General features: G+C 38.3%; 1 protein-coding gene and 2 pseudogenes across 10 annotated transcripts in view; 1 reads left to right on the top strand and 2 right to left on the bottom strand.

Annotated features, from left to right (window-relative positions):
- CCDC30 (coiled-coil domain containing 30) overlaps positions 1–27,245 on the bottom strand; it is a 201,084-nt gene that overhangs the window by 146,153 nt on the left and 27,686 nt on the right. For all 10 annotated transcript variants that reach the window (NM_001355226.2, NM_001395384.1, NM_001395517.1 and 7 more), the window contains 3 exons: positions 20,809–20,880; positions 13,825–13,940; positions 12,122–12,220 (listed from right to left, as the gene is read on the bottom strand). Coding sequence is in view for 7 of the 10 variants with exons in the window: in NM_001395384.1 (NP_001382313.1) it covers positions 12,122–12,220; positions 13,825–13,940; positions 20,809–20,880 (287 nt within the window). In the remaining 3 variants the exon portion in view is untranslated. The remainder of the gene's footprint in view (positions 1–12,121; positions 12,221–13,824; positions 13,941–20,808; positions 20,881–27,245) is intronic.
- TMSB4XP1 (TMSB4X pseudogene 1) lies at positions 10,624–11,242 on the top strand (annotated as a pseudogene).
- On the bottom strand, positions 18,525–19,323 carry RPS3AP11 (RPS3A pseudogene 11; annotated as a pseudogene).

The raw sequence follows: 27,245 nt of genomic DNA, 5'->3' as shown, positions 1-27,245 counted from the left end.
TAAATGGGTAACAGACCATCTTCAGCTTGCACCTCTCTGTAGTGCTTTCTGAAGCACAAGGACTCCTTTGACCCTGAGACTTTGAAGAAAAAGTGGCTCATTTTCTTTTACACAAGAGCATGGCCTTTTTACTAGATCTTCACAAGAGTTGCACAATCAACCCAGCCCTTATAGCAGTCATATCAGGCGACCTACAGAGAATGATTCCCCCAAATTAGAGAAGCAACTTCCAGGGAAACCATCTGAGGATCCCCCTTATTTGGGGCCCCCCTCAAGTTCCCTTCTCATTGCAGGACCTTAGGCAAATAAAGGGAGACTTAGGCCAATTTTCTGACGATGCTGATAAGTATATAGAAGCTTTCCACATTTTTTTTTTTTTTTGAAACGGAGTCTTGCTCTCTCACCCAGGCTGGAGTGCAGTGGCGCGATCTCACCTCACTGCAACCTCCACTTCCCAGGTTCAAGTGATTCTCCTGCCTCAGCCTCCCAAGTAGCTGGGACCACAGGCGTGTGCCACCACATCCAGCTAATTATTGTATTTTTAGTAAAGACGGGTTTTCACCATATTGGCAAGGATGGTCTTGATCTCCTGACCTCGTGATCTGCCCACCTTGGCCCCCCAAAGTGCTGGGATTACAGGCATGAGCCACCACACCTGGCCTCCAAAATTTAACTCAAGTGTTTAACCTCTCACAAAGGGATATTATGCTATTCCTAAGCCAAACCCTAACCAAGGTTGAAAACCAGGCAGCTCCGCAGACAGCAGAGAAATTTGGAGATGAGCAATCTGTCTCCTATGGTAGGTCAAAAGGAAAAGAGAAAATAGAGAGAGTAAAGAAACAGGGGAATCATCATTCCCAATTGGAAGAGAGGCAGTACTTATTGACAACCCTAATTGAAACCCTCAAATGCAACTTCCAGATGCCCTGGTTCTTCCTGCCCACCATCTACATTGTCAGCTCCTCCAATTCTACAACACAAACCCCGAGACTTTTCTATGGTATTTTTCCTTCCTTTTTTCATGGTTTATAATGTTCCTCCAAACTGGGAAAAGTTAATTTCCCCAAACCTTAAAATGCTTTGCTTAGAGTTGAGCTTGGAGGAAGGGAACCCAGAAGCTTGACATACTGGCAAAAGGGTAAAAGTTTTACGGTTTTTTTTTTAACCAGTGGGCTTTTGGCTTCTCTCTCTCTGTGCAAACTGGTAAAATGAATAATAAGAATCACTGTTTATATTCTCTGTTAAGTTTTAATTAATGAAAGAGGATTTGTGAGGTTGGTCTTAAGTTGCAGCCAGTCTAGTGTGCATTGTGTGTCTTTCTGCATGATTCTGTTAAAAGAAAGGGTACCTTAGGTTAGGATACAGGCCCAGGACCTCATAAGCCTGTTGATCAAGCCAGCTCAACAAAGTGTTCAGTAACAAACTTTGCTACAGGCCTCTTCTTGTTTTATGTCCTTCGGAACATGACCTGTAACCACATGGCAATACTTTGTTTTAGTCCCCACCATTGTAAAATGGTGACTGTCTTCTGTGCTAAGTCAGTTCCTGGGTGGGGGTCTCAAACTCAGATAAGCCATTTTATCGATCTGGGTGGTGCTAGTTGATCTATCAAGGGCGGGGTTTGCAAAATATCTTAAGCACTGACCTTGAGAGCAGTTTAGAGAGAGTCAAAATCTTGTAGCCTCCAGCTGCATGGCTCCCAAGCAATGGTTTCTAATCTTGTGACTAGTTTCTTGGTCTGCTCCCCAGGAAAGAGGGATGGTTATCATCTTTGTTTTAGACTATAAACTGTAAATCACACTCCTTCCAGAGTTGGTTCAGCCTATGTCTAGGGATGGGGAAGGGCAGCTTTGGGGCTGGAAGCAAGATGGAGTTGGTTGGGTCAAAACTCTTTCACTGTCTCAGTCACAGTTTTGCAATGAAGGTTTCAAAAGCTGCTTACCACCCCTTTGAAAATACCTCATACACTCGCAGCTAAGTCATAACCTAATTTAGGCTGGTTGGTTTCACCTGTGAGGTTACTTTTTGTAAAGTTCAAAAGCTGAAAAACTTAACTGCTAGGTGTGGCTAAAGTCAAGTAACAAGGGACTTAAAAGGATTTTCTTAAAGAGTGCTCAGTTTGATTAAAAGCGGATATCCAAGCAAGGGTATATTTTAAAAACCTTTATGCTTTTCTCTTCTTGGAGCCTGTTTTTTTGAAAAAGGGCTTTTTTCTTCAGTCAACTGAACTATTTTTCTCCATTTTTTTTGTCTTGCCACTCTTAATGCACACATAAGAGGCCCTAAGATAACTTCTGGTAGTCTGGGACTTCTTGGGAAAAACAGAGGAGGTGCCACAGACCCTGTTTTGGGAAAACACATACACACACACACGTACACACCCTCTGTTTCCCTCATGAAACCCCAGGAATTAAAAGCAGCTACATCTCTCTCAAAATCAAAGGTGCTGTTCTGTTTCGCATTGTGTTATCTGATGGTTTTAAGTTTTGGGGCTATCAAATTACTTTGCATTATGAGAGGGCTTTGTGTAATAACTAGGTAAAAAATATACCTTAAGGGATGGCTAATAGAAGTTATGGAGGGATACTTACTTCTTTGCACATCTGGATCAGAGAAGCATGCTGTTGGCTACCCGGAAGATTTGGAAACATCCCCACCCCAAATTAAGGGATAAGGCTCCCATGGGGAGTGGGCTGATTACAAAATGGGCTGATTGCCTTTGGGTTGCCTTGCAATGAGATGCGTGGTAGAAGCACTACACTGTCTTCTCCCCATAGTATTTCCCTCCTTTTGGGAATCCAGGATCCACTATAAAATGGCACCCTTTATTTTGAGGATCTGTCTTTGCCTTCAGCTGTGCCAGCTTATTCAGCCATAAAAATGCATGCTTTCCTAGTCGTGTTCCTCCAAGGTCTCCACCCTGAAGCCAGTAATCCAATTAAGAAACTAGCAAATGAAAAATTTTACAAGTGCTAAATCTTCTGTCTGGGTAGCTATATATGTGTTGTGTGTAATATCTATAAAAAGAGCTCTAATTAATTGTCTTAGAGAAAAATAAATGCTTAAATATTTTAAAGGAAAGATAAAAGCTGTAATGCTTCTTAGTTAATGTGACTTTAATTTTTAAGAAATAAAAAAGTCTTCAAGATTATTGGTAAAATACAAGTGTTATCAATATAAACAGGTGATCTAAATCATGTAAGTCAAATACTAGGTTTGCTAAAGGTTTCAAGGTTGTAAACCACCTGCTTCACAATTTGGTAAGGGCTGGGGACATACAAAATTAACAACCCCCTAACTATGCTGGAAAAAGTAAGTGATTTTCTCTGTGCCTAGTACATAATCAAAACAACTTACCAGGTTTCACATTAAAGTTAAAAATTGCTATGAGTTACTATCATAATATGTAATTTTGACTACTAAAAATAGATTTACATGCAAGGTGTGTAAAAACAGTAAAATATGTTTTTTAGTAAGAGATTATAAGAAAGTATGGAAATGTAAATTTTACCTAGTCATAAAGAATTGTCTTAAATTAGATAAGATAAAGCTGAAGGTTTAAGCAAGTTATGGAAAGATTATAAAAATTAATCTGGCAAAAATCCCATGTGTAAACCTTAACTAAATTCAAAAGGGTATTATATCATTTTTTCATAAATTGAGCATTGAAATAAAAGCACAGCAAAGTTGTCTTAAGACACTAATTCGCATTTCAGCAAAAGGGTTACAAAAGGTTTGCAAAGATTTCACCTCATGGTCAAATTGGTTAAGATTAGATGGTATTGTCTATGAGGTTTCATTAAAAAATTGAGGCTGGGCACGGTGGCTCATGTCTGTAATCCCAGCACTCTGGGAGGCCAAGGCGGATGGATCACCTGAGGTCAGGAGTTAGAGACCAGCCTGAACAACACGGTGAAACCCCGTCTCTACTAAAAATACAAAAATTACCCAGGTGTGGTGGCACATACCAGTAATCCCAACTACTTGGGAGGCTGAGGCAGGAGAATCACTCGAATCTGAGAGGCAGAGGTTGCAGTGAGCTGAGATTGCACCATTGCACTCCAGCCTGGGCAACAAGAGCAAAATTCCATCTAAAAAAAATGGGGTTAACATTAAACCAATGCAAGGATAAATTTTGGCTTTGAACAGGATTTTCACGTAATAGTAAAGGTTAATGAAAGATTTTTGCTTTTTGACTTATCATTTTGGCAAAATAATTTATGGTAATCTAGACTTCCATTTCATAATATCAAGTGTTTTAAACCTCTAACATATTTATCAGGCTTCCAAAAATCAAACTTCAAGTTTCAAAATTGTCTCTCCTGATGCCTGGCTTTCTGGATGGTTCAGAGGGTCTCTAAACCATCCAAAGAAGAGGTAAACAGGATTATTTGACATATTTAATTACATGGAATTGCTAAAATGATGTCCAATCTTCTTTAGGTTATATTTTGTTGAACAATACTAATACATGTTCCAAAATTGTATGGGATTTCTAAAATTCTAATGTCTATGTATATGCTATTAATCATAATTAAGATTGAAGTTATTGTAAACCACAAAGATAACCAAATCTCTTTGTCAGTCGTGTTTTTAACTGTAACTATGCTGGAAATTTTGTCATCTGCAGGCAATTGTTGTATTGCTTTGTTCCTTTTCAAAAGATAGTTTATAATCAAGCTATAGGACTTTTACAGGTGTTCTCAAATGCAGGTTTCTAACATTGGAATAGAGAAAAAACACACAGGATTCATGAGGAGCTGAAATGTTCATGAATATCAAACAGGAGATAACTGCATGAACTACACTAAAAGAAGTCTGACATAATCTTTTTTAACTTTTTGCTTGAAACATTGCTCATCCTTATTTTGTCCTTCAGTGTCAAGGAAACTTTTATTTTAAGCTATCTACAGCTTTTAACAATTAAGTAAGGTATACTCTTGTGAATAAAATTTAAGGCATACTTCTTTCTCATTGCCTGGTTCCTCTAAAATTTGGAAACGTATTCTTAACTTATGGCAATATAGTTATTTGCATCAGTACAATAAGAATCCATTTTCTTTTTCAACAGAATACAATTGGAGAAACTGGTTGTCTTTATCAAGACTTTGACTGGAAGGCTGTATTTCTTCTAAAGGAATCAAGCTTGACTTGAAGAGCCAATAAAAGCCCTTTGGGGAAGACTAGCCTCATATTGTTGCCTACACAGTCCCCCAGGCAGATTCCTGACCTATGGTCAGTAAAAAATGTCACTTTCTAACAGGTCCAGGTGCTCCAAGCTTATCTTAGGAACTTAAGAGGAAAGGATCACCCAACTCACAGGTATTTAAGGATAAAAACCCATGGCTGGACTTGGCTTTAAAAGGTATTATTTGAGATTCCTCCTGGAACAGAGTTTCATCAAATCCAATCCAAAAGGCCTATGTAGAAATAATTATTCTTGTTGCACTTTATGCAAATAATCAGGCCAAGTATATGACTAAACTTTATTCTACAAACAACATGGTCCTATCATAATTTGTTTTTACTGAAAATGAGGACTAGAGAGAAAAAAATTATGCTCCAAAACTTATACATTTGTCATTAAATTCTAGTTTCATTGGTTATTTTTAAGTTTTTTTTCCCTACATTTTAGGCTAGCCCTGCTTATTCTTGTGAATCAAGTAATGATTTCCTGCAGCTTGGGAAAAAGAAAAATGTATGGGTAATGTAAAAATCTGGATCAATTATCCTGCAAATAATTGGCCAGATAGTTCTGGCCAATTATCCTGCAAATCCTGCCATGTAATAAAAGTGAGTAGGTTGCTCATAACGCAGAAATTTCTTTAGGAAAATAAAACCAAGGAACTTCATAGACCTTCCAAAAGGGAAATTCTATATCTTGGCAACTAAAATTTTAGATGGAAATGATCTACTACACCACCCTTGTGGGAATCGCTACACACACTCTACTATTTGTGGTAGAGTTATACATGGTAGCACCTTCTAACTGAAATATTGGACAGAGAGTTTCCACTGCTGTAGTATTTTGCTTAATTATTATCCTTATAGCAGGAATAATAGCTACTGACAAGAGGTAAACATGAAGGTTTCACTATTGCTGAGTCCACCAGGACTTTTTATTGGGTTTGGTAATATGTCACACCCTAGCTATGCAAAGAAGTTTATAAAGAAAATAGATTTTATATAAGAAAGGATCTTGTATGGTAAAATTTTATCCTGAAGAGAATAACTGCTTGTTTAAAAAGAGGGATGTTTAGGAAAAGTCAGAAAGTTTAAACATGTCATAAACGGTCTGTGGAAGTCACAAAAGAATTAATAATTGCAGGAAAGATTTAGCCAAGGTTAACACTAGTTACTCTAGCCACCCAAATCCAATGCCACTTATCCTTTTATACTAACATTATTAACATTTGTTAATGTTACTTTTATATTAACACTATTAACATTTCAGCAGCATCTGGTGGAGGCAAATGAGTATTACAACCCATTGGAATGGCAGATAGCAATCAAACTCCAAATGGTGCTGCAGACAGAACCATGCATCGACATGCCTTTCTTCTGAGGACCCTAAGAGAAGCCCCAGCTGGTGTTCTCCACAGGGCACCCCTTTTCTGCAGAAAGTAGTGAGAAAGAGTCATCACCTAAAACCCCTTGATAACAGGTGTTGGGAACAAGCCCCCTGAAATCTGGCCCCAAAACTGACCATAAACAAAATCTCTGCTGCACTGTGACATGTTCATCATGGCCATAATGCCCACGCTGGAAGGTGGTGGGCTTACCGGAATGAGGGCAAGGAACATGCCCTCATGTTTTGGCCCACCCAGGGCGGAAAACCGCTTAAAGGCATTCTTAAGCCACAAACAATAGCATGAGCGATCTGTGCCTTAAGGACATGCTCCTGCTGCAGTTAACTAGCCCAACCTATTCCTTTAATTTAGCCCATCCCTTCGTTTCCCATAAGGGATACTTTTAGTTAATTTAATATCTGTAGAAACAATGCTAATGACTGGCTTGCTGTTAATAAATATGTGGGTAAATCTCTGTTCGGGGCTCTCAGCTCTGAAGGCTGTGAGACCCCTGCTTTCCCACTTCACACCTCTATATTTCTGTGTGTGTGTCTTTAATTCCTCTAGCGCCACTGGGTGAGGGTCTCCCTGACTGAGCTGGTCTCCACAGTTAGGGTTACCACTCCTGAGGGGGGAATAAGATAGGAGTTAAAAAGAAATTATTTAGGCAGATAGTGAGGGTAAGGAAGTCCTCATTAAGGTTTTAATTTTAATGAAAAGCAGCCCCCAAATCATTTTCTTCTCTAACAAAGAGCAGCCTGTAAAATTGAGCTGCAGACATAGACAAATAAGCTGGAAGCTTGCAAAGGTGAATGCCAGCAGTTGTGCCAATAGGAAAAGGCTACCTGGGACTAGGCATGATCAAAATGGCAGCTCCATCTTCTCTTCTCTTTGCCAGCCACGTGTACAGTATGGAGCAGACAAGATGGCGCTGGCCAAGTAGAAAGCCCATTTGCATATTAAGATTAGGGTGGGGTGACAAGCCTTCCCCACATGCTATGTAAACGTCACACCTAGTTGAACCAATCTGTAGGCCCTACATAAATCAGACACTGCCTCCTCAAGCTTGCCTATAAAATCTGATGCAGTCTGCTGCAGGCCAGCTTTTATCTTTTGGATGCCCCTCTCTCTCACAAAAGAGAAAGCTGCTCTCCTCTCTCTTTTCCTCTGCCTATTAAACTTTCCACTCCTTAGCCCACCCACGTGTGTCTCTGTCTTTAATCTTCTTAGTGTAAGATGACGAACCCCAGGTATTTACCCCTGACAACAATGCCACTTCACTAAGGGTGGGGTGTACTGGCTCATGTCTATAATCCCAGCATTTTGGGAGGCCAAGTGGAATGATTGCTTGAGCTCAGGAGTTTGAAACTAGCCTGGGTGACATAGCCAGACCTTGTCTTTACTAAAAAATCACAAAAATTAGTTGAGTGTGGTGGTGCGCATTTATAGTCCTAGCTACTCAGGAGGCTGAGGTGGGAAAATTGCTTGAGCCTGGAAGGTCAAGGCTGCAGTGAGCATGCACTCCAGCCTGGGTGACAGAGTGAGACCCTGTCTCAAAAAGAAAATCCATACAATAAAATAGTCAGCCACAGAAAGGGATAAAGTACTAATTCATACTACAATATGAACTTTGAAAACATTATGCTAAGTGAAAGAAGGCAGACACAAATGTCCACATATTGTATGGTTCCACTTATGTAAAATGTACAAGATAGCCAAATTCAAAGGCAGAAAGTACTTTAGTGGTTGCCAGAGGCTGGGGGGAGGGGGCAGGTAGAAAAATAAGAAATGGATACTAATGGATAATGGATAGAGTTTCTCTCTTGGGGGATAAAAATTTCCTGACAAGAATTCACGAGGGAGGTTCCAAGATGGCCGAATAGGAACAGCTCCAGTCTACAGCTCCCAGCATGAGCGACGCAGAAGATGGGTGATTTCTGCATTTCCAACTGAGGTACTGGGTTCATCTTACTGGGGCTTCTCAGACAGTGGGTGCAGCCCACGGAGCACGAGCCGAAGCAGGGCGGGGCATCTTCTCACCCGGGAAGAGCAAGGGGTCAGGGAATTCCCTTTCCTAGCCAAGGGAAGCCATGACAGACGGTACCTGGAAAATTGGGACACTCCCACCCTAATACTGTGCTTTTCCAATGGTCTTAGCAAATGGCACACCAGGAGATTATATCCCACGCATGGCTCGGAGGGTCCCACGCCCGGCTCGGAGGGTCCCACGCCCATGGAGCCTTGCTCACTGCTAGCACAGCAGTCTGAGATCGAACTGCAAGGCAGCAGTGAGGCTTGGGGAGGGGTGCCCACCATTGCTGAGGCTTGAGTAGGTAAACAAAGAAGCCGGGAAGCTCAAACTGGGTGAAGCCCACCGCAGCTCAAGGAGGCCTGCCTGCCTCTGTAGACTCCACCTCTGGGGGCAGGGCATAGCTGAACAAAAAAGGCAGCAGAAACTTCTGCAGACTTAAACGTCCCTGTCTGACAGCTTTGAAGAGAGTAGTGGTTCTCCCAGCACGGAGTTTGAGATCTGAGAACAGACAGACTGCCTCCTCAATTGGGTCCCTGACACCTGAGTAGCCTAACTGGGAGGCACCTCTCAGTAGGGGCAGACTGACACCTCATATGGCCGGGTGCCCCTCTGAGACAAAGCTTCCAGAGGAAGGATCAGGCAGCAACATTTGCTGTTCTGCAATATTTGCTGTTCTGCAGCCTCTGCTGGTGATACCCAGACAAACAGGGTCTGGAGTGGACCTCCAGCAAACTCCAAGAGACCTGCAGCTGAGGGTCCTGACTGTTAGAAGGAAAACTAACAAACAGAAAGGACATCCACACCAAAACCCCATCTGTACATCACCATCATCAAAGACCAAAGGTAGATAAAACCACAAAGATGGGGAGAAACCAGAGCAGAAAAGCTGAAAATTCTAAAAATCAGAGCACCTCTTCTCCTCCAAAGGAACACAGCTCCTCACCAGCAATGGAACAAAGATGGACACAGAATGACTTTGATGAGTTGAGAGAAGAAGGTGTTACACCTTATAATTTCAAGACTTACAATAAAGTTACAGAATGGAATTGTTCTAAGAATAAACACATGGGTTAACAGAATGGAATACAGAGACCAGAAGTGGATCTTTATAAATGTTTTTAATAAAGGCACCAACCTTAATCCATAAGGAAATAACTCTTTTTACCAAATCTTTCTGGAATAACTGGATATACACTAAAAATGAATGAACCTCTCAATTTTACCTCACAGTATATACAAAAATTACCTGCAGTAGATAATAAACCTAAATGTAGCAACTAAAACTATAAAAAATTTAGAAGAAAGTATAAGAAACATATTTTGTGACCTTAGAGTAGATAAAGATTTCTTAAATAGGCTTTTTGTGTCCTATCACAAAATTATAAAAGAAAACATTGATGAATTCACCTCCATCAAAATTTTAAAACTTCTACTCTTTATAAAACACTATTAAGAAAATGAAAGACATGTCATAGAATAAGAAAAGATTTATAATACATATATCTAAAACAAAGGACTGGTATTGAAAATATATAAAGAACTCTTGGCCAGGTGTAGCGGCTTATGCATGTAATCCCAGCACTTTAAGAAGCCAAAGATGGAGAATCACTTCAGGCCAGGTGTTTGAGAGCTTGGGCAACATGGTGAGACATCATCTCTAATATGTAAAAAAACAAAACAAAACTACTTCTACAACTCAATATAAAGAAAGAATACAAGCCAGAGGCTGGGCACGGTGGCTTTCACCTGTAATCCCAGCACTTTGGGAGGCTGAGGCGGGTGGATCACGAGGTCAGGAGATTGAGACCATCCTGGCTAACACGGTGAAACCCTGTCTCTACTAAAAATACAAAAAATTAGCCGGGCGTGGTGGCGGGTGCCTGTAGTCCCAGCTACTCGGGAAGCTGAGGCAAGAGAATGGTGTGAACCCGGGAGGCGGAGCTTACAGTGAGCCGACATCACGCCACTGCACTCTAGCCTGGGCGACAGAGCGAGACTCTGTCTCAAAAAAAAAAAAGAGAGAACTCGGTGGTGGCCACTGCGCAGACCAGACTTCGCTCGTTCTCACGCACCTCACTCCGCTTTTCCTCGGCAACTATGTCTGACAAACCCGATATGGCTGAGATGGAGAAATTCGATAAGTCGAAACTGAAGAAGACAGAGACGCAAGAGAAAAATCCACTGCCTTCCAAAGAAACGATTGAACAGGAGAAGCAAGCAGGCGAATCATAATGAGGCGTGCACCGCCAATATGCACTGTACGTTCCACAAGCATTGCCTTCTTATTTTACTTCTTTTAGCTGTTTAACTTTGTAAGATGCAAAGAGGTTGGATCAAGTTTAAATGACTGTGCTGCCCCTTTCACATCAAAGAACTACTGACAACGAAGGCTGTGCCTGTCTCTCCCATCTGTCTATCTGGCTGGCAGGGAAGGAAAGAACTTGCATGTTGGTTAAGGAACAACCTTCTGGGGTAGAAGAAGTGGGGTGGGACGACAGTGAAATCTAGAGTAAAACCAAGCTGGCCCAAGGTGTCCTGCAGGCTGTAATGCGGTTTAATCAGAGTGCCATTTTTTTTGTTCAAATGATTTTAATTATTGGAATGCACAATATTTTAAATACGCAAATAAAAAGTTTAAAAACTTAAAAAAAAAAAAGAATACAAGCCAGAAACAGTGGCACATGCCTGTAATCCCAGCACTTTGGGAGGCAAGAAGATTACCTGAGGCCAGGAGTTTGAGACTGGCCTGGACAACATAGTGAGACCTCATCTCTACAAAAAAGATTTTTTAAAATTAGTTGAGTGTGGTGCTGCATGCCTATAGTCCCAGCTACTTGAGAGGCTGGAGCAGGAGGATGGCTTGGGCCTGGAAGGTTGAGGCTGCAGCGAGCCAGGACTGCACCCCTGTACTCCAGCCTGGGCAACAGAGTGAAAACCTATCTCTAAAAAAAATATAATAATAAAAATAAAATAAATTTTTTAAGAATGCAGACCACTCCATTAAAAATGTATAAAAGATTTGAACAGATGCTTCACAAAAGAACATATATAAATGGCCAAAACATATTCATGGCCATTAGACACCCTCAAAAGGCAAATTAAAACCACTATTTACTAGATATACCCTGGCACTTGTATCAGTCTGTCTTGGGTTTGATTGCTTTGCTCACCACTTCAGAGGCTGATCATGCTGAATATAGTAGACACTGTACACACTGGAGCCTACATCTTATTAGTTCTCCATGATATGCTCAAATTGTATCTTTATAAGATTCTTTTCTCTTCAGAGAAACAATCTACTATATTCTCCAAATTAATTGTTCTCTATGAGGAAGAAGTAAACAGAAACACATCCTCTGTAGCCCTCTTTCCTCTTCCACTCTAATTAGCTGAGCATTAGAAAAAGACAGCCCAATAAGAAAGAGTAGCAAATGATTAGCACCAATCACTCTAGTATACTCTGTAAAAATGCAACTCAAAAATTAGAGATCAGAAAGAACAGAACTTTAAAATACAATACCTGTTCTCTCTGTTCACCACCCACAGTTTTTCCAGGGGAGTGGTTTCCAAGTTGCTTATTCTCTTGAGATTCACACACCTCTCCTTTAAGTCTTTCAACCTTAAATACAAAAGTAAACACCTTGTAGACTTCTCAATTTTTGTTTGGATAAATTATTGTTTTGTTTTTTAATTATACAAGTAATATATAAATACATTCTCCTTGTAAATCTTCAACACATAGGTATACAGAATAAAAAATGGTATTTTCCTTCATATCACAACTGGTCCTCCCTTTCCAGAAATAACACTGCTTGGAATGTACCCTACCTGAACTTTTTCACGTATACACACATGTATTAAATATATAAATGTATTAGATACATAAATTTATGAAGACTTAGACAACTTACCAATCTTCACTTTTTATTCATTCTTTTTATGATTGCATTTTTATTGTGGTAAAATACACATAACAAAATTTACCATGTTAGCCATTTTTAAGTGTACAGTTCAGTGGCATTAAGCATCATTAAGCATATTATTAAGTACATTGTCAGGCACACTGTTGTGCAACCATCACCACCATCCATCTCCAGAACTCTTCATCTTGCACTGAAACTCTATACCCATTAAACAATAACTCCCGTTACTCCCTCTCCCCAGCCACTGGCAATGACCATTCTATTAATACTTTCTGTCTCTATGACTTTCACTACTCTAAGCATGCCATATAAGTGTAATCACATATTATTTGTCCTTTTGTGACTGTATTATTTCATTTAGAATAATGTCTTCAATGTTCATTCATGTTGCAGCATGTGTATGAATTTCTTTCCTTTTTAATGCTGAATAATATTCCATTGTATGGCTATACCACATTTTGCTTATCTGTTCCTCTATCAACGAGCATCTGAGCTGCTTCCAACTTCTGGCTATTGTGAATAATGCTACTATGAATATGGATGTACAAATCTATGTATGAGTCTCTGTTTTCAATTCTCTGGGGCATATATCCAGAAGTGGAATTGTCAGACCACATGGTGATTCTATATTTAACTTTTAGAGTAACTGTTTTCCATGGTGGCTGCACTACTTTAGATTCTCACCAGCAATGCAAAAGGGTTCCAATTTTTCCACATCAACATTTGTTATTCTCTGTTGTTTTGATATTAGCCATCCTGATGGGTCTTTAGTCACTCTTGCAAAAAAATTTCTAAAGCACCTAGTATTATGCCAGGTATTTTCTTAGATATTAGATATATGATTATTTAATGAATATAAACTAAAATTGAAGAGATGTATTTAAAATTTGGAAGTACATATTTTTAAAAATCAGTAAATTGCTAAGAAGAAATGGTTAAAAATATAAACAGTTAAAGATTTAGTATTAATAATCTTAAACTTATCCAATATAATAGAGTAATATTTTCTATGTGGTGAACGTGTTAACTATAAACTATTATCTAATTCCTTATTTAAAAGATCCTAGATTTACATGATAGCAACAATGTTGCTGTTTAGCATAGGTAGTTAAAATGTATAAAATATAAGTACAGATAGAATGCATCTAGGTCAAAGCATGGCATCCCCCTGAGATATTACAGCCACCAGTATTGGTCCCTGCTAAAGACCAACTTACATGTTGTATACCTGTGTTGCTTATGCTGTTGATTGTTATGGTAGACACATTTAAATACGTTCTAAGAAGTAAATTAAACTTACCATTTCACCAAGCACCTTTTTTTCTGAGTCAAGTGATCGAACCCTATTTCTTAAAGCCAGAATTTCCTCATCCAGTCTCTGATTTTGTTCCTTTGCTTTCTGTAGGTCAGCTGCATCTAAAACAGAGAAGAACACAGTTTACTCAACTGGATCAAAGTTTTAGTTTCAGGGGCACTAACTCTAAAAACGAAGGAAGTGCTATTTAGCCTGCCCTTCTTGTCAGTCCTACCATGTCTCTGCATATGTGGCTGGCTCTCTGTGCAGGAGAGCCACTAGGCTCTCAAGTCTAGTCCTAGAATATTCTACCAACCCAAAGAAATAACAGAGAAAGTTTTATATTACTCACACCAGACCAATGAATTGGACTTTTTGAGTGTAGGGTTTGCAGCAATAGAGGTTCTTCTAGGACCTAGAATTTTAAAACAATTTAGCCTAGCCTACCTTTTAAAAGTTAAATGACCAAAAAAAATGCCTTTCAGTCCTGTCTCTTTTACATACCTCCTAGTCCATTAGTTTATATATCTGTTCTTAGAACAATTCCATGCTGTAGCTTTATTGTAAGTCTTGAATTGTAAAGTGTTAATACCTCAAATTTTATTGATCACAAATGGAACATAGGCTTTTTGTTAATCAAACTACATAGTTTTGTTCAAAGTGAATATTTTTATCCCACCTTCACCTAGTACCATGTCCCAAAATAATATTTTTAACACATAGTAAATATTTTCAGACATTTATATATATATATTTATAGTAATATACAAACAGACAAAGTTGTGTTAAAAATATTTAACAACTGGTTAAGCATGTACCCTCATCTATAAGAATGTAGCTCTGAAGTAGAGTTCTAGAGAACATTTTGCTGTGCTAAATATTATCTCTTTAGTAGCTGGGAAGACATGGGGCTAGAAGGAGCTAAGACAATTAGGGCAGGTAGAAATGCTTGGAAGACTCAGGACAACAGCTACTTACAACTCAACACAGAATTATTCCAGTATCTTCACAACATTACTGCCATACTAGTATATACCAGCTCACAGAGGTCCTGTGAGTACACACACACACACACACACACACACACACACACACACTCCACAAATAAAAAACCCAAATGACATTATACCACACATCTTACTCTACAACTTGCCTTATTCACTTGATAATATATCACAGAAATCTATTCATGTCAGTGCACACTTGGCTCCATGTCGTCTTTAACAGCTGCAAAGTATGCCTCGTATAGTCACTTATTTAACAATCTATTGTTGGTAAACATACTGCATTTAATTTTACTATCCAACAAGTTATTTCTTACTCTCTGTACTTATTTGTTAACTGGCCACTTAAAAAGGTGGGAAGTATTCTCTTCTTCAATTTTCTGGAAGAAATTATGTAAATTTAGTATTATTTATTCCTTAAATAATTCCTCTTATTAGAATTCACTAATGAAGCAATCTGAGCCTGGAGTTTTCCTCATGGGAAGATTTTTATTTTTATTTTTTAATTTTGTTTTATTTTTTATTTGAGTCAGAATCTTGCTCTGTTGCCTAGGCTGGAGTGCAGTGGTGCAATCTCACTGCAGCCTCTGCCTCCTGGGTTCAAGTGATTTTCCTGCCTCAGCCTCCTGAGTAGCTGGGACTACAGGCATAGGCCACCAAACCTGGCTAATTTTTTTTTTTTTTGCTTTTTTATTTTTATTTTTTTATTATCATACTTTAAGTTTTAGGGTACATGTGCACAATGTGCAGGTTAGTTACATATGTATACATGTGACATGCTGGTGTGCTGCACCCACTAACTCAGCATCTAGCATTAGGTATATCTCCCAATGCTATCCCTCCCCTCTCTCCCCACCCCACAACAGTCCCCAGAGTGTCATGTTCCCCTTCCTGTGTCCATGTGTTCTCACTGTTCAATTCCCACCTATGAGTGAGAATATGTGGTGTTTGGTTTTTTGTTCTTGCAATAGTTTACTGAGAATGATGATTTCCAATTTCATCCATGTCCCTACAAAGGACATGAACTCATCATTTTTTATGGCTGCATAGTATTCCATGGTGTACATGTGCCACATTTTCTTAATCCAGTCTATCATTGTTGGACATTTGGGTTGGTTCCAAGTCTTTGCTATTGTGAATAGTGCCGCAATAAACATATGTGTGCATGTGTCTTTATAGCAGCATGATTTATAGTCCTTTGGGTATATACCCAGTAATGGGATGGCTGGGTCAAATGGTATTTCTAGTTCTAGATCCCTGAGGAATCGCCACACTGACTTCCACAATGGTTGAACTAGTTTACAGTCCCACCAACAGTGTAAAAGTGTTCCTATTTCTCCACATCCTCTCCAGCACCTGTTGTTTCCTGACTTTTTAATGATTGCCATTCTAACTGGTGTGAGATGGTATCTCATTGTGGTTTTGATTTGCATTTCTCTGATGGCCAGTGATGGTGAGCATTTTTTCATGTGTTTTTTGGCTGCATAAATGTCTTCTTTTGAGAAGTGTCTGTTCATGTCCTTCGCCCACTTTTTGATGGGGTTGTTTGTTTTTTTCTTGTAAATTTGTTTGAGTTCATTGTAGATTCTGGATATTAGCCCTTTGTCAGATGAGTAGGTTGTGAAAATTTTCTCCCATTTTGTGGGTTGCCTGTTCACTCTGATGGTAGTTTCTCCTGCTGTGCAGAAGCTCTTTAGTTTAATTAGATCCCATTTGTCAATTTTGGCTTTTGTTGCCATTGCTTTTGGTGTTTTAGACATGAAGTCCTTGCCCATGCCTATGTCCTGAATGGTATTGCCTAAGTTTTCTTCTAGGGTTTTTATGGTTTTAGGTCTAACATGTAAGTCTTTAACCCATCTTGAATTAATTTTCATATAAGGTGTAAGGAAGGAATCCAGTTTCAGCTTTCTACACATGGCTAGCCAGTTTTCCCAGCACCATTTATTAAATAGGGAATCCTTTCCCCATTGCTTGTTTTTCTCAGATTTGTCAAAGATCAGATAGTTGTAGATATGCGGTGTTATTTCTGAGGGCTCTGTTCTGTTCCATTGATCTATATCTGTTTTGGTACCAGTACCATGCTGTTTTGGTTACTGTAGCCTTGTAGTATAGTTTGAAGTCAGGTAGCATGATGCCTCCAGCTTTGTTCTTTTTTTGTATTTTTAGTAGAGATGGGGTTTCGCCATGCTCACCAGGCTGGTCTTGAACTCTTGACTTCAAGTGATTCACCCCCCTTGGCCTCCCAAAGTGCTGGGATTACAGGCATGAGCCACGATGTCCAGCCCATGGGAAGGTTTTTAACTAAAAATTCCGCCTCTTTACATAGATTTAGAGCTATTTCTTCTTAGCTGAGGTTTGGTAGTTTGTGTCTTTTAAGGAATGTGTCCACGTCATCCAGGTCATCAATTTACTGGCATAAAGTTATTCATAATATTCCTGTATTATCTTTTTATTGTGTAGAATTATTCTGTTATTTTTTATATTGGTAATTTGTGACTTCTCTCTTTTTTCATGACCAATCTAGCTAAAAGTTTATCAATGTTGTTCTTTCTGAAGAAGCAGCTCTTGGTTCCACTGATTTACTCTATTGCGGTTCTGTCTTTAGTTTTGTTGATTTTTTTTTCTTTTTTGAGATGGAGTCTCCATCTGTGGCCAGGCTGGAGTGCAGTGGCACAATCTCCGGTCACTGCAACCTCTGCCTCCCAGGTTCGAGATTCTACTGCCTCAGCCTCCCGAGTTAGCTGGGATTACAGGCATGCGCCACCACACCCAGCTAATTTTTGTATTTTTAGTAGACACGGGGTTTCACCATGTTGGCCAGGATAGTCTTGATCTCTTGACCTCGTGATCCACCTGCTTCAGCCTCCCAAAGTGCTGGGATTACAGGCGTGAGCCACTGCGCTCAGCCACTTTTGTTGATTCTAACTCTTATTTTAATATCTCCTTCCTTCTGCATGCCTTGGATTTAATTTTCTCTTCTTATTCTGTTCTTATTCTTCTTATTCTTATTATATTTAATTATATTCTTATTGTTCTTATTCTGCTCACCTTATTCTGGGTTTCTGAGGTATAGACTTAGATTATTTTGAGTCCTTTCTTGATTTCTAGTATAAACATTAAATACTATAAAATTCCCTCTAAGTACTGATTTAGCTATGTCACAGAAATGATGATATTGTTGCATTTTCATTTTCTTAAATTCAAAATATTTTCTAATATCTCTCTTAATTTTTTTCTCTGAAGGCATGGTCTTTTTATAAATATCTTTTTAGGCCGGGTGCGGTGGCTCACGCCTGTAATCCCAGCACTTTGGGAGGCTGAGGCGGGTGGATCACAAGGTCAGGAGTTCAAGACCAGCCTGGCCAACATGGTGAAACCCCATCTCTACTAAAAATACAAAAATTAGCTGGGCATGGTGGCAGTTTCCTGTAATTCCAGCTACTCGGGAGGCTGAGGCAGAGAATTGCTTGAACCTAGGAGGTAGAGGTTGCAGTGAGCTGAGGTCATGCCACTACACTCCAGCCTGGGCGACAACGTGAGAATCCGTCTCAAAAAAAAAAATCTTTTTAATTTCCAAATATTTCCAACGAATCTACTTCTGTTACCAATTTTTAGTTTAATTCCATTATGATCAGAGAAAATAATTTGTATGATTTCATTTTTTTCACAGAGATTTGCTTTATGGCCCAGGATGGCCTTTTTTTTAAATTTTGAACTTTAAACAGATTCTTGGACCAGTGCTTCATATCCATCAGCTAATTCGACTTTAGCACCTGTCTCATCCCCAGTGGCTTTTCCAGAACAATTACCTTCATGAATTTTCCCAAATCAAACTTGGGCATCTTCAGCATTTTTACTTTTCTAACAAAGACATCATGGAGAAGATAAATAGATAGGCAAAGCTTTTCTCTTTTCCAGTGCTGCCTGGAATCAATTTATTGACCACTTCTTTCAAGTCATTTGCACCTTTCAGGTCATAATTTCCATCATTTTCTTCTGGATTTCGCAGACCTGTTGGTGCTGAGCATAAGAGGCCTTCTGTATCAGATTGTGTTTTTTAGTAAAATCAACAGAGTAGATGAAACAAATAACCATCGGTAGTCTTGACATCAATGTGAGGTTCAATCATGGTCTGCCATTTTTTGACCACGGAACACATTTCGTCAGGGGTAAATCCATGCCCTGGAAGTTAGTTTTTTTCCTGAACATCTTCAGCAATCAGCTTGAATTTTCTAAATGCAACTTCATCATTCTGCAGATCAGCAAGACTCACTTCAAACACACGACGCTTGAGGCTATCAGATGCAATTTTGGTTCCTCGAGTCCTGGTGACTAGCGTCTCTCCAATATTTCTTATATTGAACATAGCAAGTGCTTTTACATCACACCAATCTTTCTTAGAAAATGGATCAACCACTCTATTTTCGGCTCCCTTTTTGCCACCTTTCATAAGGTGCTTGTTCTTGCCAACAGCCATGGTGCTGCTCACAGAGCCAAAAGGCTACATGTTTTGATACAGGCATGCAATGCGTAATAATCATGTCATGGAAAATAGGTTATCCATCTCCTCAAGTATTTATCCTTTGTGTTACAAACAATCCAATTATACTCTTTAAGTTATTTTAAAAGGTACAATTAAATTATTATTGACTATAGTCACCCTGTTGTGCTATCAAATACTAGGTCTTATTCTTTCTTTTTTTTTTTTTACCCATTAACCATTCCCCACCTCCCACTGAAACTGCCCCTTTATTCTCCTTCCCATCCTCTGGTAACAATCTTTCTGCTCTCTATGTCCATGAGTTCAACTGTTTTGATTTTTAGATTCCACAAATAAGTGAGAACATGCAATGTTTGTCTTTCTGTGCCTGGCTTATTTCTGTTAGCATAATGACTTCCAGTTCCACCAGGATGGTCCCTCTTGGTGAATGTTTCATGGGTATATGAAAAGAATGTGTATTCTGGTAAAATTTTCTATAAATATCAATTAGGTCATGTTGACTGCTAGTATTTTTAGGACTTTTATATCCTTACTGATTTTTTTCTGTTTACTTGTACTATTAATTACTAAGAAAGCAGTGTTCATTTTATAATTCTATTCATACATTTTTAAAAGGAGGCTATGTGTAGTTTTAGAATTTAAAAATTGGTAAACGTATTTAAAAATTTTTTAGCTGTTACCGTTAAAATAGTCAAATTTCATTATATTATTGATAACTGGTAGCATTTTTATATAGGCAAGCTAGGGTCAGATTAATTCACCACTGATTCAAGCCTACTGGCTTTCCAGTGAACAAATATGTATAAAGTATTGTTAAATGCATTATAAAGTATATTGGTGTCAGTGGTCCCAGTAAAATATGCATGATTTGTATTGATCACAGGTTTGGGAGTCAGACATATAAAGATTCAAATACCAGCTCTGATACTTAATGTAGCTACTGGATAACTCTTAACTCTGCCATGACTCAGTTTGCTTATCTAAGAAATAGGGATACTACTACTCACTACTTGGAACTGCTATGAGGATTAGATGAGATATGTGTGTTCAGGGTGGTATGGCCATAGACTGTTGTGAGGATTAGAGATAACGCATGTGAAGTGCCTGGCAGAGTACCTGTCACTTAGTAAGCAATAAATGGTAGTAGTAGTGGTAGTAGTAGTAGTAATAATAACAGTAGTAGCAACAGCAATAATAGTAGTAGTACTTATTATTTTAATTCCTAAATATTATTTTAAAGCATATTATTAATGTATATTATATTATTTCTTAATGTATTATTATTAAATAATAATTTTTTAAAAAATTTATTCTTTTGAGATGCGGTCTTGCATTATCACCCAGGCTGGAGTGCAGTGGCACAGACATGGCTCACTGCAACCTCCAACTCCTGGGCCCAAGCCTCCCAAGTCTTTGGGACTGCAGGCGTGTACCACCATTCTTGGCTACTAAATAATAATCATCATATCTTCTAGAATGACTTACCATTTTCTTTCAGCTTTACCAAATTTTCCTTCAATTTGTCAATTTCTAGTTGAGCCTTCTTAAGTGCAGAATCTAAAAAAAGAAATAAAATATTTGTATAAGGAACAAATGATTAGTATAATAATCAAATTTCAAATGACTCTCTCTCTCTGGAACACTTTCTTTCACCTGGCTACTGTCCTAGGAGTTTCTGCTTAAATGTCAGCTCCTCAGGGAATTTTCCCAGACTTCTCTCTTAGAGTTCCTACTGCACCCTATATTTAGCCCTATCCCTGATTATCTGATCTTGTAATTGTCTTTCCTTAATAGTTTCCTCCATCAGATTTCATGATGAAGAGGAATTTAAACCACTGTAAACAACAGGAAAAGCTGAAAGTTTTTAGGTATGGTACTACCAGTTTAGTAAAAAGAAATTACACCCAGAAATAAGTAAAAATAATTCCTGCAATCAATCATATTTAGAATTTTGCCAATAGCTGCTAGAAATATCAAAATAACAAAATTTCAGGAAATAGCTTTTGGTGCTATGCAAGAATTGTATAAGGATGGCACAGTGATATTTAGGAAGACTATTGGATTTGGGCTCTCTACTTCAGGTTTTATCCCTTTGTCTCCTACGGTCTCCTCATCACCAGCGATATTGCTAGTGGATCGCCTATATTATCAGAATGAAGAACCTCCCAGAAGTAAGAGACTAACATGAATTTTATAACAGGTCACTTCTAACCACAGAGTGAGCACATCAGCACAATTGTGAAGGTTTTATTATTACATCCGTAACACTCAGTTCTTTAGAGTAAATCCCAGGATAACCCACCAGATTCACCTAAAACTGCATTCCTAACTATAGCAATACTATTACTACTGCTGTTACCATAGCAGTAACTACCAGTGCCAGATATATGTACCATCATAACAAATCTGCAAAGTAGATATTCATGTTTCCATTTTATAGATGAGATAAACAAGACTCAGAAAAGTTAAGCAAGTTGCTCAACATTACACAACTAGTAAACTGTATGGCTGGGATGTGAACCTAAGTCTGTTTACACTGAGCCAAAGATGTAAAAATAGCTTTTGTTTTTACTAAAAGAACAGTTTTCTAAATGTATTCCTCTATGGAAGAAGGAGAGAAAGTAAAGTGAGGGCAGGTGGAAAGGATATTCTGGAAAGAGGGAATAAGACGAGTAATATAGGAGGTAGGACAGAACAAAGGAGACGACATAGGAGGGAACACTGAGTAGTTCTGGAACTACATATAGTCTAATACTGCCTGGTCTGTAGTGCAGAGAATTAGGACAGTGTGGGATATGACCTGGATACATAGGCAGAGGCCAAACCAGAAAGACCTTATTTGCTACATAAGAGAGCTCAGAATTTATTATGTGAACCAGGGGCTTCCAAACTGTATTCTATGAACCTCTAAGTTCTGAAGACTTCAGGTGTTCTGAAAACATTTGACTTAATTGCCATTTGAAAAAAATAACTATTTCTGGAATAGCACACATAGTGAAATATATTGCTCCAAATTTAGATAATATCAGACTACCAAATTTATTAACTTCTATGGTCAGGTTAGTTTCTGCCATGTTTGTGAAGATACTTGAAAACTGTAGCTTTCTGGGGTTGGGCACAGTGGCTCACACCTATACAACACTTGGGAGGCTGAGGCATGAGGATTGCTTGAGGCCAGGAGTTTGAGATCAGCCTGGGCAAGTAAAACCACCTTCTCTACAAAAGATTTAAAACTTAGCCAACTGTGGCACTACACGCCTGTAGTCCTAGCTACTCATGAGACTGAGGCAGGAGGGTCACTTGAACCCAGGAACTCAGTGAGTAAGTGATGATCGTGCCACTGTACTCCAATCTGGGCAACAGAGTGAAACCCTGTCTCTAAAAAAAGAAAGAAAAAAAAGAAAATTTTAGCTTTCCAACAGTCCTCCTAAACCAGTAATATTTCTAAAACTGTATTGGTTGTAACTTTTCTTGAGATCTCTCTACCAGATTAAGAGTTTTACTTTCTTAGTCTATTTCTAAGTCTCTTTCTAAGTCTGGTTAGCATCGATTTAAAAAAAAAAACTTTTTTACTTATGGAAGATTTCAAATATATACAAAAGTAGCTAGGGCAGAGTTATGGTAATACCTACATCCATCACCCAGCTTTTAACAATTACCAACTTATGGTCAATCTTGTTTCACTTATACCCTTACATATTATATTAATTTTCTAATGTCGTATAACAAATTGCCACAAACTTAGTGGCTTACAACAGCATCCATCTACTAGTTCACGTTTCTCTAGGTCAGGAGTCCGGGCATGGTGTGCCGGGGTTCTGTGATCAAAGTCTTACAAGGGTGAAATCAGGGTGTTGGCCAGGCTGTGTTTCTCTCTGAAGGCTCTGGAGAAGAATCCATTTCCAATCTGATTCAGCTTGTTAGCTGAAATCAGTCCTTGAGGGTGTAAGACTGAGGTCCCCATCTCCTCACTGACTGTCAGTTGGAGGTCTCTCTTGGCTCTTGGAGGCTGCCCACATTCTTTGTTACCTGGTCTCCTCCATCTTCAAAGTCATTATTTATTTGTTCTTCAAAGTCATTAATGTAGAATCTCCCTCATGTTAAATCCCTCTTGCACTTCAAATCTCTTTTGCCAGGAAATGCCTTGACTCTTTTAAGAGCTCACCTGATTAGATCAGGCTCAAGTAAGATAATCTCCCTTCTTTAAAGTCAGTTGGTTTGGGACCGTAACTACGCTTACAAAATCTCTTCACAGCAGCATCTAGATTGTATTTGGTTGAATAACTGGGAAAATATGTGTGTATACCAGGGGGTGGGGCTCTTGGAGGCCACCTTAGATTTTCACCTAATACACTTATTTCCCCCAGTTCTTATATTTTTAACAGCTTTGAGGTACAGTTTACATACCTTAAAAATTACATATTTCAAGTGGACAATTCAATGGTTTTTAGTATACCTACAGGTATGCAACCATCGCAATCTAATTTTAGAACATTTCCATCACCCTATTAAGAAAATCATATGCACTTAGTCAATCCCAATTTTCATACCTAGCCCTAGACAACCACTAATCTACTTTCCTTTTTTTTTTTTTTTTTTTTTTTGAGACAGGGCATCACTATGTTGCTCAGGTTGGACTCAAACTCATAGGCTAGGTGATTCTTCTGCCTCAGCCTTCCAAGTGGCAAGTAGTTGGGACATAAGCATGTGCTACTGTGCCCAGCTATGCCAATCTACTTCCTATCTCTATAGGATTGCCTTTTATGTACATTTCATCTAAATGGAATCACACAATATATGATCTTTTGCATCTGACTTCTTTTACTTAGCTTGTTTTTGAGATTCATCCATGTAGCAGGTGTAAGTACTTCCTTCCTTTTTACTGGCAGATAGTATTCTATCATATGAGTGTCAGGAGTTCCCAAGGTCACCCCCAGGTTTGGTGATGTGCTAAGAGGACTCACAAGTCTCAACATATGTTCATATTCAAAGCTAAGATTTCCTACAGCAAAAGGATAAAGCAAAATCAGCAAAGGGAAAGGATGCATAGGGCAAAGGCCAGAAGAAACCAGGAACAAGCTTCCAAGAGTCCGCTCCCAGTGGAGTCACAAAGGATATGTCTCCAGCAGTGAACTGTGACAATACATGTAAAATGTCTACCTGGGAAGTTCATGAAAGACTCACCACCTAAGGTTTTGTTGAGGGCTGGTCACACACACACTTTCTGCCTAGCATATACCAAGACTCTTAAAGGAAAGCAGGTGTTCTGCATGGACCACATTGTATAAACAGCTTAGGCACAGTGAGCCACTATTGGTTAAGGAATGGTGGAAACCCTCCCAAAATCCAGGTTCCCAGATGTCAGCCAGATGCTTGTGACTGTTATAAGCAGTCCTTTCTTAAGAATAGCAGTGTCGGGTGTGCTGTTAGCTACTTTCTGCACAGTATGGATATACTGCATTTTGTTTATCTGTTCACCAACTGACAGACAGTTGGGTTGTTTCTAACTCTTGGCTACTGTAACTAATATTGTTATGAACATTTACATACAAGTCTGTGTTGATACATGTTTTCATTTCTCCTGGGTAGGTAGCTAGGAGTAGAATTTCTGGGTCGCCTTTAATATTTTGAGAAACTGTTAAATGTTTTCCAAAGTATCTTCACTATTTTACCTTCTTACTAGCAATGTATAAGGGTTTCAATGTTTCCACATCCTTACCAACAGTTGTCACTGTCTGTCTTTTTTAGCATGGCCATTCTAGTGGGTATGAAGTAGACGCTCATTGTGGTTTTGCTTTGCACTTCCCTAATAACTAATGGTATCGAACATCGTCTTCTTAATCGACAAATAATAATTGTATATGTTTATGGGGTACAATGTAATGTTTTGCTATATATTTATATTGTGGGGTGATTAAATCAAGTTAATTAACACATCTATCACCTCACATACTTATCAATTTTTATGATGGGAGGTGCTGAGCATCTTTTCATGTGCTTGTTGGTCATTCACATATCTTCTTCCTGGAAATGTCTTTTCAAATCCTTTGCCCATCTTTTTTCTTTGAGACAGGGTCTTGCTCTGTCACCCAGGCTGGAACAATCATCGCCTACTACAGCCTCAAACTTCTGGGCTCAAGCTATCCTTCCACCTCAGCCTTCCAAGTAGCTAGGACTACAGGTGCATGTCACCACGCCCAGCCCTTTTGCCCATTTTTAAATTGGGCTGTCTTTTAATTATTAAATTGTAAGAATTTGTTACATATTCTGGATGTAAGATCCATATCAAACACATGATTTGCAAATATTTTCTTCTAGTCTATGAGTTGTCTTTTCACTTTCTGATGGTATGTTTTGAACTGTAAAGGTTTTAAATTTTGATTTAGTCCAATGTATTAGTTTTTCTCATCATTTTTGCTTTTGGTGTCATATTTAATGTATCACTGCTTAACCCAAGATCATGAAGATGTTTTCCTTGTTTTCTTCTAACAGTTTTACAGTTTTAACTTACATTTAGCTCTATGATCCATTTTGAATTAATTTTTGTGTAGGTGTAAGGTAGAGACCTGTATTATTTTGAAGCAAATCCTAGACATCATTTCATTCACTTATGAATATTTCACTATACAGCTCTAAAAAATAAGAACTCTTTTTAAACAAAAAATTAATTTAACAAAAATTTAACAATAATTCTTTAACTCATATGTCTAGCAAGTGTTCAAATTTCAAATTGTTTTATTAATGTTAAAAATTTGAATCAGGATTCAATAAAGGCCACACATCATAATTGGTTAATAAGTCTCTTAAATCTTTAAAAATTCATCTTTTTTCTTGATATTCATTTGTTGAGGAACAAATATTTTATATAAATTCTTTTTTATTCTTGAAAAAATTATCACTGAAAAAATTTTTCATTTTCATCCAAATTTTATGATGTGATAGAGAGCTAAAGAATAAACTAAAGAGAACTAAAGGGATTTATTTTAAAGAGTTTGTTGAAAGAAACAAGCTAATACTTGGGAAACACTGTCATATAACACATGCCTAGCTACAAATTCTGCTATAAGTGGATGACTCAGGAAGTTACAGATGGCGCACACACTGATACTGCACACAACATTCCAAAAGGACTTGCTAATTCAGCTTCCCAGCAGTCCTAATAGACTCACTGTGGAGATGGCTTTCAGTTGATACGTCTGGGATTTACCCTACAGAGCAACTGCTGATAGAACAGGTTGCTATGTGATTGTGTTCTGTTGTGTCCAAATGTAACTACTAAGGGTACTGAATATCCTGCTTTCCTTTTTTCTTCTTGTATGGCAAGCAGCAAATATTGCTTCTCATCGTGTTCATGTGACCAAATTTATTTTCTTTTTAGATAGTGTTTACTGAGGAATAAATTGCATGCAGTGAAATTCACCCTTTTAAGTGTATAGTTTGAAGAATTCTGACAAATATGTACAATTGTATACCCACCAACCCACATGGGATATGCAACATTTCCATCATTCTGAAAAGTTATTTGTGTCCACTGTTTAAAATGTACTTATAAAAAATTTACATCCTGATATTCTTTTTTTTATTATTATTTGTTTTTAATCACACAGGCATAATCATTATTGTTTTATACATTTAACATTTTTAATGTTTATGATTCTAAAGTAACCTATACATTGCATTTGTAAAAGAATCAGTCACGGATTAAAAATATAGAAAGGAGATAATTATAATTTAAAATTTTTATACTAAATTCTAGATAAAGCAAAGATGTAAATATAAACAATAAAAGTACCCCCCCAAAACCAGGGGTAAATATTTTCAATAACCTTGTAGTGAAGAAAAGGCTTTAAACATGAAAACTCAGAAAGCATAAAGAATAATTCACTTAAACCCAACTTGATGAATATTAGCATTTATGGTAA

This window comes from Homo sapiens, chromosome 1 (genome assembly GCF_000001405.40).
Source record: "Homo sapiens chromosome 1, GRCh38.p14 Primary Assembly".
NCBI lineage: Eukaryota > Metazoa > Chordata > Mammalia > Primates > Hominidae > Homo > Homo sapiens.
The sequence above is the reverse complement of the archived record's forward strand: the minus strand, read 5'-3'. Positions and strand labels throughout refer to the sequence as shown.